The sequence below is a fragment of the Homo sapiens genome, chromosome 11 (genome assembly GCF_000001405.40).
Source record: "Homo sapiens chromosome 11, GRCh38.p14 Primary Assembly".
NCBI classification, from domain to species: domain Eukaryota; kingdom Metazoa; phylum Chordata; class Mammalia; order Primates; family Hominidae; genus Homo; species Homo sapiens.
The window spans coordinates 73,547,922-73,561,306 of record NC_000011.10 but is presented as its reverse complement, the minus strand read 5'-3'; the positions used below and the strand labels follow the sequence as shown (position 1 = coordinate 73,561,306).

Sequence of the window (13,385 nt, the reverse complement as noted above, 5' to 3'; positions counted from 1 at the left end):
ACCTCCCAGGTTGAAGCGATTCTCCTGCCTCAGCCTCCTGAGTAGCTGGGATTACAGGCACATGCCACCACGCCTGGCAAATTTTTTGTATTTTTAGTAGAAACGGATTTCTCCACGTTGGTCAGGCTGATCTCGAACTCCCGACCTCAGGTGATCCGCCTGCCTCAGCCTCCCAAAGTGCTGGGATTACAGGCATGAGCCACCGCCACCGCGCCCGGTCTTTTTGTTTTTTGTTTTTTTTTTTTGGGACAGAGTCTTGCTCTGTCACCCAGGCTGGAGTGCAGTGGCGCAATCTTGGCTCACTGCAACCTCTGCCTCCCAGGTTCAAGCAGTTCTCCCAGCCTCGGCCTCCTGAGTAGCTGCAACTACAGGTGTGTGCCACCATGCCTGGCTAATTTTTGTATTTTTAGTCGAGACATTTTCACCAGGTTGGCCAGGCTGGTCTTGAACTCCTGGTCTCAGGCTATGTGCCCGCCTTGGCCTCCCAAAGTGCTGGGATTACAAGTGTGAGCAGCGATGCCTGGCTGCATGTTTAGTTTTATAAGAAACTGCCAAATTATTTTCCAGAGTGTCTGTACCATTTTACATTCCTACCAGAAATGTATGAGAAGTCCAGTTTCTTTGCATACTTGTCGGCATTTAGTATTATCACTGTTTAAATTTAGCTGTTTTAATAGGTATGTAGTACCTCTTTCAGTTTTTCTGAGTGAGTACATTTGTTTTTAGCACATGGCAGGTTGATAGCCTTAGTCAGGTTTAGCTTTCAGATTTGCCATGTTTGTACCCACTGCATTTAAGTTTTTATTTCTTAATGTACTTTACATTCTGAAGGCTTACAAAGCTATTGAAAACTTTTCTCAGTATTTTTTTTCTTAGTTTTTTCATGTCTCCTGATCCCAGCAACAGGTATCTTCACACACCTTAGCAAAAGTACCTTCATTGGAGACTGGGCATGGTTGCTCATGCCTATAATTCCAGCACTTTGGGAGGCTGAGGTGGGAGGAATGCTTGAAGCCATAATTTCAAGACCACTTGGGCAACATAGTGAGACCCCATCTCTTTAAAAAAAAAAAGCCAGGCATGGTCATGGTGGCACATGTCTATAGTCTCAGCTCCTCAGGAGGCTGAGCTGGGAGGATCGCTTGAGTCCGAGGGGTCGAGGCTGCAGTGAGCCATGTTCATGCCACTGCACTCCAGCCTGGGAGACAGAGTGAGACTCTGTCTCAGAAAACAACAACAAGAAAAAAACCTTCATTGGCCTTTTCTTAAGTGAGACTAATTCTGTGGATATAACTGCTTGGATTTATTTAATGCTGCAGTAGTGGTACTGAGGATTTTGTTTACATTGTTCTCATTTGTGGCAACTCCTCAGTGCTGTTTTTTTTCCTGCCAAGAATCAAGCAATGCTTGATTACAACTTGGCAATGGGAAGAAGAAAGATAACAAAACAATTTTTGGGAAGTTTGTGTGAAGGGAGGATTCTCATTATTGACTGAGGGATTGAGGTGAAATTTATATATCATTGTTGAAATTAACCACTTTAAAGTGAACAATTTAGTGGCATTTAATACACTCCCAGTGTTGTGCAACAACCATCTCTGTCTAGTTCCAAAACATTGATCACCCTAAAAAGAAGTTCTGTATCCACTAAACAGTCATTCCCATTCCTATTCCCTCCTAGCCCCTGGCGGCAACTAATCTGCTTTTCATCTCTATGGATTTACCAATTGTAAATATTTTATATAAAAGAAATCATATAATGTGTGGCCTTTTGCATCTGGCTTCTTTCACTCAGAATAATGTTTTTGATGTTCATGCTGTAGCATGTATCAGTACTTCATTACTTTTTTTTTTTGAGACAGTTTCACTCTTGTCGCTCAGGCTGGAGTGCAGTGGTATGATCTTGGGTCACTGCCAGTGTTGCCCAGGCTCGATGCAGTGGCGCGATCTCGGCTCACTGCATCCTCCGCCTCCTGGATTCAAGCGATTCTCCTGCCTCAGCCTCCCGAGTAACTGGGATTACAGGTGACTGCCACCATGACCAGCTAATTTTGTATTTTTAGTAGAGACAGGGTTTCATCATGTTGGCCAGGCCGGTCTCGAACTCCTGACCTCAGGTGATCCACCTGCCTCGGCGTCCCAAAGTGATAGGATTACGGGCATAAGCCAACACGCCCGGCTAGTACTTCATTACTTTTTAAAGCTTTTTATGGCTGAGTAATATTACATTGTATAGATATGCTACAGTTTGTCCACTGATGGACGTTTGAGTTGTTTCTATCTTTCGCTATTGTGAAGGTGCTGCTATGAACATGTGGGTAGATGTATTTATTTTAGTACCTGTTTTAGTTCAGTGTATACCTAGGAATGGAATTGCTGGGTCATATGGTAATTCTATGTTTAACTAGCAGAGGAGCTGCCAGACTTTTCCATAATGGCTGCACCATTTTAACATTCCCACCAACAATGTTTGAGGGTTCATATTTTTTAACATCCTTGCTTATACTTATTTCCTTCTTCTTTTTTAAAAAATAAATAGCTATTGTAATGAGTATGGCATAATATATCTTATGGTTTTGACTTGTATTTCTCTAATGATTAATAAATGATGTTAAGCATCTTTTCATCTACTTGTTGGCCATTTGTATACCTTTAGAGAAATACCTATTCATGTCCTTTGCCCATTAAAATTTTTTTTTTTTTTGCCTTTTTGTTGTTGAATTATAAAAGTTCCTTATATAGTCCGGATTCCAGACCTTTATCAAATATATGATTTCCAAATATTTTTTCTTATTCAGTGGGTTGTCTTTCCACTTTTTTTTTTTTTTTTTTTTTTTAGAGACAGGGTCTTGCTCTGTTGCCCAGGTTGGAGTACAGTGGCATGATCATAGTTCACCGCAGCCTTGAATTCCTGGGCTCAAGTGATCCTCCAGTCTCAGACTCCTAAGTAGCTAGGACTACAGATGTGCACCACCATGCTTGGGTAATTTTTCTTTTTTACATTTTTTGTAGAGGCAGTGTCTTGCTATTTGCCCAAGCTGATGTTGAATTCCTACCTTGGCCCTTCTAAAGTGCTGGGATTGCAGGTGTAAGCTGTCACATTTGGCCTCTTCACTTTTTTGATAATATCGTTTGATGCACAAAAATTTTAAATTTTGATGAAGTCCAGTTTATTTTTTCTTTGATTGCTTACTTTGTTGTCATAGTTCAGAATCCATTGCCAAATCCAAGGTCATGAAGATTTATCATGGTTGTATCCCTTATATTTAGGTCTTTAATTTTGAATTAAGTTTTATATGTGGTTTGAGGTAGGGGTCCAGCTTCATTCTTCTGCCTGTAGATATTCAGTTGTCCAAGCACCATTTGTTGAAGAAACTTTTCTTTTCTCATTGATTAGTGATTAGTCTTGGCATGTTGGTTGAAAATTAATTGGCCAGAGATGTATGGATTTATTTCTAGACTTGTGATTCTGTTCCATTGGTCTATATACCTGTCCTTATGCGAGTACCATGCTGTATCGATTACCATAGTTTTATAGTGAATTTTGAAATTGGAAAGTGTGAGTCTTCCAACTTTGTTGTTCTTTTTCAAGATTATTTTTGCTGTTTGTGGCCTCTTGCAATTCCATGTGAATATGAGGACTGGCTCTTCCAGTTCTACAAAAAGAGGTTTTTGGACTTTTGATAAGATCTGTAGATTGCTTTGGAGGTGACATCTTAACAATATTAAAATTTCCAATTCATGAATACAGGATTTTTAAATTAATAACTTAATTTTGGCCAGAGATGGTGGCTCATGCCTATAATCCCAGCACTTTGGGAGGCCAAGGCAGGAGGATCGCTTGAGCTCAGGAGTTCAAGACCAGCCTAGGCAACATAGTAAGACCCCATCCCTGCTAAAAATTAAAAAAAAAAAACTTAGCCAGGAGTGGTGGCACTATTGTCTTAAACAGTAACTCTCATTTCTCCCCTACCCCAGCTCCTGGCAACCACCATTCAACTTTGTCTCCATGAATTGGATTGTTCTGTGTATCTCATATGAGTAGAATAATAGTGTTTGTCCTTTATTACTGGTTTAATTCACTTAGCATAATATCTTCAAGGTTCATCATGTTTTGGTACGTGTCAGAATTTCCTTCCTTTTTAAGTCTGAATAATACTCCATTGTATGTATATACCACATTTTTTTGATCCATTCATCCATCAACAGACACTTGAGTTGCTTCCACCTTTTGGCGGTTGTGAATTTCCCATTGCTTTTTTTCCTCTTTTTTTTTTTGAGACAGTGTCTTGCTCCGTTGCCCAGACTGGAGTGCAGTGGTGTGATCTTGGCTCACTGCAACCTCTGCCTCCTGGGTTCAGGTGATTCTTGTGCCTCAGCCACCCAAGTAGCTAGGATTATAGGTGCGTGCCACCATGCCTGGTCAATTTTTGTATTTTTTTTTTTTTAGTAGAGGCAGGGTTTTGCCATGTTGGCCAGGCTGTCCTTGAACTCCTAGCCTTGTGCGATCCTCCTGCCTTGGCCTTCCAAAGTGCTGGGATTACCAACGTGAGCCACTGCACCTGGCCCTCAATTTTTTTTTATTGCAGTAAAATACATATAACATAAAATTTATCATCTCAATTTTTTGAAAGTGTATAGTTTAGCGTATTAAATACATTCATAATGTTGTGTGACCATCACTGTCAACTATCTCTAAAACTCTTTATCTTACAGATCTGAAATTTCTCTACCCATTAAACACAAACTCCCTATTGCCCCATTCTCCCTACCCCCCTGACAATCCCCATTCGATCTTCTGTCTCTGTGATTTTGATGACTCTGAGTACCTCATATAGGTAGAATCATATAGGATTTGTCTTTTTATTTTATTTAATTATTTAAATTATTATTATTATTATTAATTTGCTAGTGGTGGGATGGAGGGAATGGGTTCTCACTGCCTTTTTTTTTTTAAAAGTGACAATTCTCACTTTGTCATCCAGGAGGGACTGCAGTGGCACGATCATAGCTTATTGCAACCTCGAATTCTTAGGCACAAGCCATCCTCTTGCCTCAGCCTCCCAACCAGCTAGGACTACAGGCATGTATCACCACACTTGGCTAATTAAAAAAATTTTTTTTGGTAGAACCAGGGTTTCACTTATGTTGCCCAGGCTGTTCTTGAACTCCTGGCCCAAATGATCCTCCTGCGTCTGCTTCCCAAAATGCTGGGATTACAGTGTGAGCCACTATACCCAGCCCCATTGCTTTTTTTGTTGTTCTTTTGTCTTTGGCATGACACTGGGTTGGAGCTTACCAGCCCCATTGCTTTTTAATATAACAGCAAGCCTTCCTTTCTCTTTTTCTTTTTTTCCACAAATATTTATAGAGCAGCTTCTTTATGCCCACTATTTTTAGTATTAGAAGCCTGGCAGTGAACAAGACTAACAAGGTCCTTGGAGGTTACATTCTGTTGATAAGAATGGTTCCCTCTTTGGAAGCCTTGCCAGGCACTAGTTCTCTGATTTGCTGAGTTTATGATTAGGCCAGGTATCAACTGTGTGTCCTCACTTTGGACGTTGCAGCCCTTAGCCCCATTTTCTCTTTTTTTTTTTTTGAGATGGAATCTTACTCTGTCACCCAGGCTGGAGTGCAGTGGTGAGATCTTGGCTCATTGCAACCGCTGCCTCCCGGGTTCAAGCAATTCTTCTGCCTCAACCATCCAAGTAGCTGGTTTTACAGGCGCCCATGACCACGCCCAGTTAATTTGTTTTATATTTTTAGTAGAGATGGGGTTTCGCCATGTTCGCCAGGCTGGTCTCGAGCTCCTGACCTCAAGAGATCCACCCGCCTCGACCTCCCAAAGTGCTGGGACCTTAGCCCCATTTTTCCTTTGTGCCTTACTTTGGCATTTTCTCTTAGAGGCCTTTCATGAGCCCCCAGGCTGGATTGGGTGTTCCTCTTCTGCTCTAACCACCCATCACTTATCTTTATTATAATGCTGCCTAACTCTCTCTTCTACTGGAATGGTACCCTTGTTGACTGACTCATGTATAGCTGCTTGGCTTAATGGTAGACCAGATATTCAGGTCCTCTGAGACAGGCCCCTGATGACTTTTGCAACTACATCTTTCACCACAGCCTGCCTTGCACTTTGGACTCTAGCAACACTGAAATACATGTCATTTCCCAAGGCATGTTAAGCTGTTTCTATTCTCTAGGCTCTCCCTTTTTCCTAGAATGCCCTTTTCCTCTAGGCTAATGTCTTTCTCCTTTAAATTAGTCATCTTCAACAAAGGCTACCTTGACCTTCTCTTGACTTTGCCACATTCCTGCTGCTGCCTTCCTTCCATGGCCTTTGTCACGCTATATGGTAATTGACAGGTTCCATGATCTTGAGGAACTTATGGATTTTAGCAGTGGGTCTTAGCTTGCCATCTTCTTCACCCATCAAGTTTCATTTCTCTCTTTACTCATTGAACTTGGCTTTGCTGATGACAGACATTCTGAAATGAAAGTGACCTCCTGGGAGTCTGATGGGATTTCCTCTTTATTGCTCTCCCATTGTATTTCACCCTTGCATTTGTGTCAATTCTCAGTAGGATTAACATAATCTTTTTGTGTAAAAATAATATGCCTCTAATATGTTTCTCACCTAGCAGAGATTCTAATGATCTTAATTAATCCTGATGGCATTTTATATATTCATTTTTTGTCCTAAAATCTCCTTCACCTTGTTTTTTGGAAAAATGCCTGTTATGGAAAAACTAGAAAACTTGGCAAATAATATCGCTCTATATTCTGCCATGCAGAGATTACTTTTAAAACTCAGCATTTAGGCTTTTTTGAAGTTTTTTTTCTATTTATTTTATATAATTAAGATCATACTATAGGTAGTCTTTTGGAGTATTTTTTAATTTAACATTATATCATAAGCATTTTCTATTTTTGAGACAGGGTCTGGGTCTGTCACCTAGGCTGGAGTGCAGTGGCGTGATCACAGCTCACTGCAGCCTCAAACTCCTGGGCTCGAGATCTTCTGTCTTAGCCTCCCAAGTAGCTGGGACTGTAGGCGAACACCCCATGCCCAGCTAATTTAAAATTTTGTTTTTTGTGGAGATGGGTTCTCCCTGTGTTGCCCGGGCTGGTCTCGAACTCCTGGCTCAAGTGATCCTCCCACCTTGGCCTCCCAAAGTGCTGGGATTACAGGTGTGAGCCACTGCGCCTGGCCTCAGTCTTTATTTTTTTGGTAGTTTTCTTAGGATAAATAGGAATAGGGTAATTGGAGTGAAGGTATAATTTATTTTTATTTTTATTTTTTTGAGATAGGGTCTGGCTCTGTCACACAGGCTGGGGTGCAGTGACTGGAGTGCAGTGGCACAATCTCAGCTCACTGCAACCTCCGCCTCCTGGGCTCAAACTATCCTCCCACCTCAGCTTCTTGAATAGCTGGCACTACAAGTGCACGGCACCACACCTGGCTAATTTTTTTTAATTTTATTTTTATTTTTTGTAGGGTTTCACCATGTTGCCCAGGCTGGTCTTGAACTCCTAGGCTCAATCCATCTGCCTGCCTTGGCCTCCCAAAGTGCTAGGGTTACATACATGAGCCACTGCGCCCGGCCAGGTATAACTTTTTAAAGGCTCTTGATATACACTGTTGAGTTATTATCCTAGATCATTGCAGGGACTAAGTATTTGTTAAATGAAAGAGTGACTACCCGCTAGAAAGACTGTGAGTAGTCATGCTCTTTACAGGAGTAGACGAGTGGCTCTAACTCCCCATACTGCCTTTCATATTTGATCCTCTCAGTGTCCTCCATCCTCATTTGTTTACAGTGAGGGCTTTATCCTCTTATTAGTCAGACTTAATTGCTTTCTCTATGCTCAGGCCAGATGAAATCAGGTCTTTATTCCTTCTTTCCCAAAGAAGAGATACTGAACTTCTCATTTGGTCATGGTCTTTCTTCACCCTTCCATCATTTATTGGTAGCATCTTCTGACTTTGAGGGCCCTTCTTGAAACCATAGAGACTTGAAAAACTTGACCAATCCCTTAGGTAATATTTAAAATGTGGGAGGGATTAAGGTCTCGTTGAAAAAAAATCTAGAATTAGTTTCTGAGAGACCAAAGGGATTCTAATTCCTGCTCTACCTGGCTGACCTTAACCTTTGATCTCTCTGGGACTCTGTTTATTATCTGTAAAAAGGGCCATAATAATAACTCCCTTTCTTATCATATGGGCTTGATAGGATTAATTAATTTATAAAACAATATATTATTGAATGGCTACTTTGTAAAATTGTATGATAAATTAAATTCATTCCTTCAGTCATGCATCCTTTATTGATTGATTGATTGATTGATTGAGACAGAATCTCACTCTGTCACCCAGGCTGGAATGCAGTGGCGCGATCTCGGCTCACTGCAACCTCTGCCTTCTGGGTTGTAGTGTTTCTCCTGCCTCAGTCTCCCGAGTAGCTGGGATTACAGTTGTGTGCCACCACACCAGGCTAATTTTTGTATTTTTGGTAGAGATGGGGTTTTGCCATGTTGGCCAGGCTGGTCTTGAACTTCTGACCTCAAGGGATCCACCCATCTTGGCCTCCCAAAGTGTTGAGATTACAGGCATGAGCCACCACGCCTGGCCTCATCCATTATTTATTCAACTGGTCAACAGATGTTAATTGAGTACCTCTTTCGTGCCAGGTTTTATGCTAAGTACTAGATAGAAAGGAAAACAGCAAATAAAGAAACTGTAGTTCACTATGAAACATACTATGATATTGGTATGTAATAGTAGCAACCACCACAACTAATACTTAATGCTTGCCTACTATGTGCCAGGCACTGTTATAAAGCCTTTACCTAAATTAATTCATTTAATTCTTAAACTTTTAAAGAAGGTGCATAATTACTGTAAAGTGTAAATTATAGTGGAATACAAAGGAGAGTGTTAAATGTTACCATGTATTGAATGCCCATATGAGCTAGACATTCTATAGATATTTTATATACATTTTCTTTCGTCTTCCCCACAGCTCTTCAAGGTTAGGCATTATCATTTAAACATGAGGAAATAGAGTCTAAGGAAGATTAAGAAATGTGCCCAAGTTCACAGTTTGTAAGAGGTAGAGTTGGAATTGAACCCAGTTTTAGTCCAATTCCAAATCCTTGGTTCTTAGGATTTTGTTTATACAAGGCATAAGGGTAGGTAAAACTCTCCAGGCTAAGGCACTGTGAGGTCAAAGATAAGAAAGTCCACTGCTTTTGAAGAGGAGAGGAGGTAAAACTGAAAGATATTTTCTTAAAAATGTGAGATCGTTCCTTCCTTTTCCCCACATATTCCTTTCTCTCCAGGGCAGACTAAGAAATCCTTTTGTACCAGCATGGGTATTTAAGTACTTCCTAAGTACTGTACTGTGGCTGCTGCTGCTGATAGCACATGGCAGTTCTGAATGCTTTAGGCAAGTGCCTAATAACTGGAAATTCATTCAGGGCAGCTGCAACATGCAACCAGATGGGATTTAAAATTGGCATGTTCATATTTTTTAAAAAAGCTAATTAAAAAATGTCAATTTGCAACCTGGTGTTGCCATGTTAGAATTTTCTAATCTTTTTCTCCAATTGAATAGGAAATGTTTCATTAAACTCCTGTTAAATTGTTTACACTTGTTGCACACTGCACAGATGTGATCGTCTGGCTGAAATGTTTTTCCAAAATTGTGTGCAGTGGGAAAGAGAAGAATGAGCAGTTTTAGTTCGAAATCCGGAATGGCTATTGAATAAAGGAGTGCAGTTAAATTTTTAGTTTATAGAATTGACTTTAACAGTTATTTTTGTAATTGTGCTATATAGCTGAATCATGGTGTTCCAGCTTTGAGAGGCATAGACGAATGGAGAGAGACCCATTTAAGATAGGGTATGTTTAAAACTATTTGTATCAGATACTTCCTGTCTCATTACTTTCTGCAACAACTTCCTGGCTGGTCTCCCTACCTACTGTCTCACCTCCACCAAATCTGTCCTCCCTACTGCTTCTTCCTGAGCTTTGTTGAATACAGATTGTACTCTTCTCTGCTTTAAAACCTTCCAGAGGTTTTTTCATAACTTGGAGGATAAAATTCAAACCCCTTAACTTAGCTTGCAGGCTCTTTCATGGTTTGGCCTCTGCTTGCCTCATTAGCCCAAATTCTCCTTTTTTTTTTTTTTTTGAGACAGAGTCTCGCTCTGTCACCCAGGCTGGAGTGCAGTGGCGCGATCTCGGCTCACTGCAAGCTCCACCTCCTGGGTTCATGCCATTCTTCCGCCTCAGCCTCCCCAGTAGCTGGGACAACAGGCGCCCATCACCGTGCCCAGCTAGTTTTGTTTTTGTATTTTTAGTAGAGACAGGGTTTCACCATGTTAGCCAGGATGGTCTTGATCTCCTGACTTGTGATCTGCCTGCCTCGGCCTCCCAAAGTGCTGGAATTACTGGCATGAGCCATCATGCCTGGCCAAATTCTCCTTTTTTTTTCATATGTTGTTCCAGCCAAATTGAACTACTTTTCACCTGCTGTCCAGGTCATATTCCTGTATCTTCATCCATGACATTTATCTCTATTTGGGACACCCTCTCACCCTCCTTTTAAAAAAATATTTATTTATTTACTTATTGTTTGTTTATTTTTGAGACAGAGTCTGACTCTGTCACCCAGGCTGGAGTGCAGTGATACGATCATGGCTCACTGCATCCTCGACCCCCCAGTCTCAGGTGATCTTCCCACCTCAGCCTCCTGAGTAGCTAGGACTATAGGCACCTGCCACCACACCTGGCTAATTTTTGTATTTTTTATAGAAACAGGGTTTTGCCATGTTGCCCAGGCTGGTCTTGAACTCCTGGGCTCCAGCAGTCTGCCTGCCTTGGGCCTCCCAAAGTGCTGGGATTACAGGCATGAGCCACCAAGCCTGGCCTTAATTACCCTTTAAAACTTAATTGGGATTTATCTCTGAGTAGCTTCCTTTGTGGTTTCCCCACCTTCTATTCCATTTCACTACTGGGTTCTGACCCTCCTTTGTGGTCTTCATAGTTCCTAGCAGTTCTTTCTCTATCTTAGAGCTCTTACCACTTTCTGTTATTCCAATTTAAGTTTCTGTCTACCAACGCAATTTATTTATCTCTCTTTCTTTATTATAGTTCCTCAGAAAATGTGTGTCAAGTGACTATGTTTTTTAATATAAAGAGCATTCTGAGGATATGTTCATTCATATATATTTATTCATAGCGTATGAAACGATATGATAAAAAGTATGATAAATTTTAACCAGTCTTCTTATTTTTATTTCTGCCAAGTTGTGAGGTTGTTCCAATATTTGGAAAAGAAATTCCTTCTAGAAACACCTGTAATTTAATTACATACCAAACCTGAAGCAAGAAATAAGCCCTCTTCTTAGTCAAGTCTCACATTAAGTAGTGGAACTTCGGTTTGGGGTGAAGGACTAGACAAAGACTTTCCGATTAGCTCTACTTATTGTGATTCCTGCCTCTTTCCACAAGTTGGGATGATGGTGGGTTATTACACTGATGCTAGCCTGTAAGGGACATTGAATGTATGGAACTTAAATCATGAGTGGTGTGTGATAATAAGGTAGAACAAGCTCTGTGTTACCCCGTGTCATTGCTAAGAAACACTTACTGGAGGTTTACTAAAGGTTGGTGCTGGGATACAGAAATGAGTTAGGCATAGCTCCTGCCAGACTGCCTGCTAGACTGTTTGTGCCTCCGGGAACACACAGAATTTAGACATAGCGCTGTCCTGCAGAACTTTCTGCAGTGATGGAAATGTTCTATATCCATGCTGTCCAATACAGTAGTCACCAGCTACACGTGGGTCTTGAGTGCTTGAAATATGCCTAGTGAGACTGAATAACTGAATTTTAAATTTTTTTACTTTTAATTAATTTAAATTTGAATTTAAACAGCTATGAATGGTTAATGGCTATTGGAAGCACAGATCTAGAGGTGCCGATCAGTGGAGAGACAGACATGTAAATAAGCAAGTACAATTAAGTGTAGTAGGTACTATGATAGAAATGTCTATGGAGGCCAGACATGGTGGCTCATGCCTATAATCCCAGTACTTTGGGTGGCTGAGGCGTGTGGATCACCTGAGGTCAGGAGTTCGAGACCACTTTGGCCAACATGGTGAAACCCCATCTCTACTAAAAATACAAAAATTAGCTGGGCATGGTGGCGCATGCCTGTAATCCCAGCTACTTGGGAGGCTGAGGCAGGAGAATTGCTTGAACTCGGGGGGTGGAGGTTGCAGTGAGCCGGGATTGTGCCACTGCACTCCAGCCTGGGCGACAGAGCAAAACTCCGTCTCAAAAAAAAAGAGAAATGTCTATGGAGCCAGGTGTGGTGGTTCACTCCTATAATCCCAGCACTTTGGGAGGCCAAGGAGGGAGGACCACTTGAGGCCGGGAGTTCAAGTCTAGCCAGGGCAACATAGGGAGACCCCACCTTTACAAAAAAAAATTGTCTGGCCTTGGTGGCGCACACCTGTAGTCCCAGCTACTCAGCAGGCTAAGGCAGGAGGATCACTTGAGCCCAGGAAGTCAAGGCTGCAGTGGGCCATGATTGCACCACTACACTCCAGTGTGGATGACAGAGCAAGACGCTTTCACACACACACAAAAAAATCAAATTAAAAAAGAAAGAAATATATCTAGGGTTCTCTCTAGGATTAGGTCAGTTCTGGGAGTGGGGAGAGGGATTCAAGAAAGTATTATATCTTTATGAGTCTTCAAAAATGAGTAGATATAACTGGTTGTCACATATGCAGCTTAAAGAATTACACTGTCTTGGAGCCCCTGGCTGTTTGATCTTGAGCAAGTGATTTGACTTTTCTAGGCTGAGCCTTGTCATTTATAAAAGAAAGGTCATAATAGTCCCCACCTTAGTCACAGTTGGGCGAAATAATGTGCTTGCTTATAGTAAGCACTCAGTAAAATGTTAGCTATTATTATTATCATCTTACTTCCTATTTCATACTACCATGTATACCCAGCTTGCTTGCTTATTTATTTATTTATTTATAAATTGTGATGAAAAACATAAAATTTACTGTCTTAACCATTTTTAAGTGTATAGTTTAGTAGTAGTAACTAATTTACATTGTTGCATAACAGATCTCTACAACATTTTTTTCTTGCAAAACTGAAACTCTATACCCATTGAACAACAACTCTCCCTTCCTCCTTCTTCCAAGTTCCTGACAACCACAATTTTACTATTTGTTTCTGTGAGTTTGACTACTTTAGATACCTCATGTAAGTGGAATCATACAATATTTGCCTTTCTGTGACTGGCTTATTTCACTTGGTATAATATCTTCGAGATTCATCCATGCTGTAGCATGTGA

General features: G+C 41.0%; 1 protein-coding gene across 4 annotated transcripts in view, besides 2 other annotated features; it reads left to right on the top strand.

Annotated features, from left to right (window-relative positions):
* The window catches only part of FAM168A (family with sequence similarity 168 member A), a 197,626-nt gene that overhangs the window by 36,806 nt on the left and 147,435 nt on the right, over positions 1–13,385 (top strand). The window lies entirely within an intron of this gene.
* Positions 7,383–7,607: a silencer, noted in NCBI's record as "fragment chr11:73264745-73264969 (GRCh37/hg19 assembly coordinates)". NCBI's record gives its function as "represses an EF-1alpha promoter that drives an FKBP-Casp9 reporter gene in an ReSE screen in K562 erythroleukemia cells {active_cell/tissue: K562}" and the evidence as "EXISTENCE:reporter gene assay evidence [ECO:0000049][PMID:32094911]".
* Positions 9,127–9,667: an enhancer, noted in NCBI's record as "NANOG hESC enhancer chr11:73262685-73263225 (GRCh37/hg19 assembly coordinates)". NCBI's record gives its function as "activates a minimal SCP1, AML or CMV promoter by ChIP-STARR-seq in naive H9 embryonic stem cells {active_cell/tissue: H9 hESC(naive)}" and the evidence as "EXISTENCE:reporter gene assay evidence [ECO:0000049][PMID:30033119]".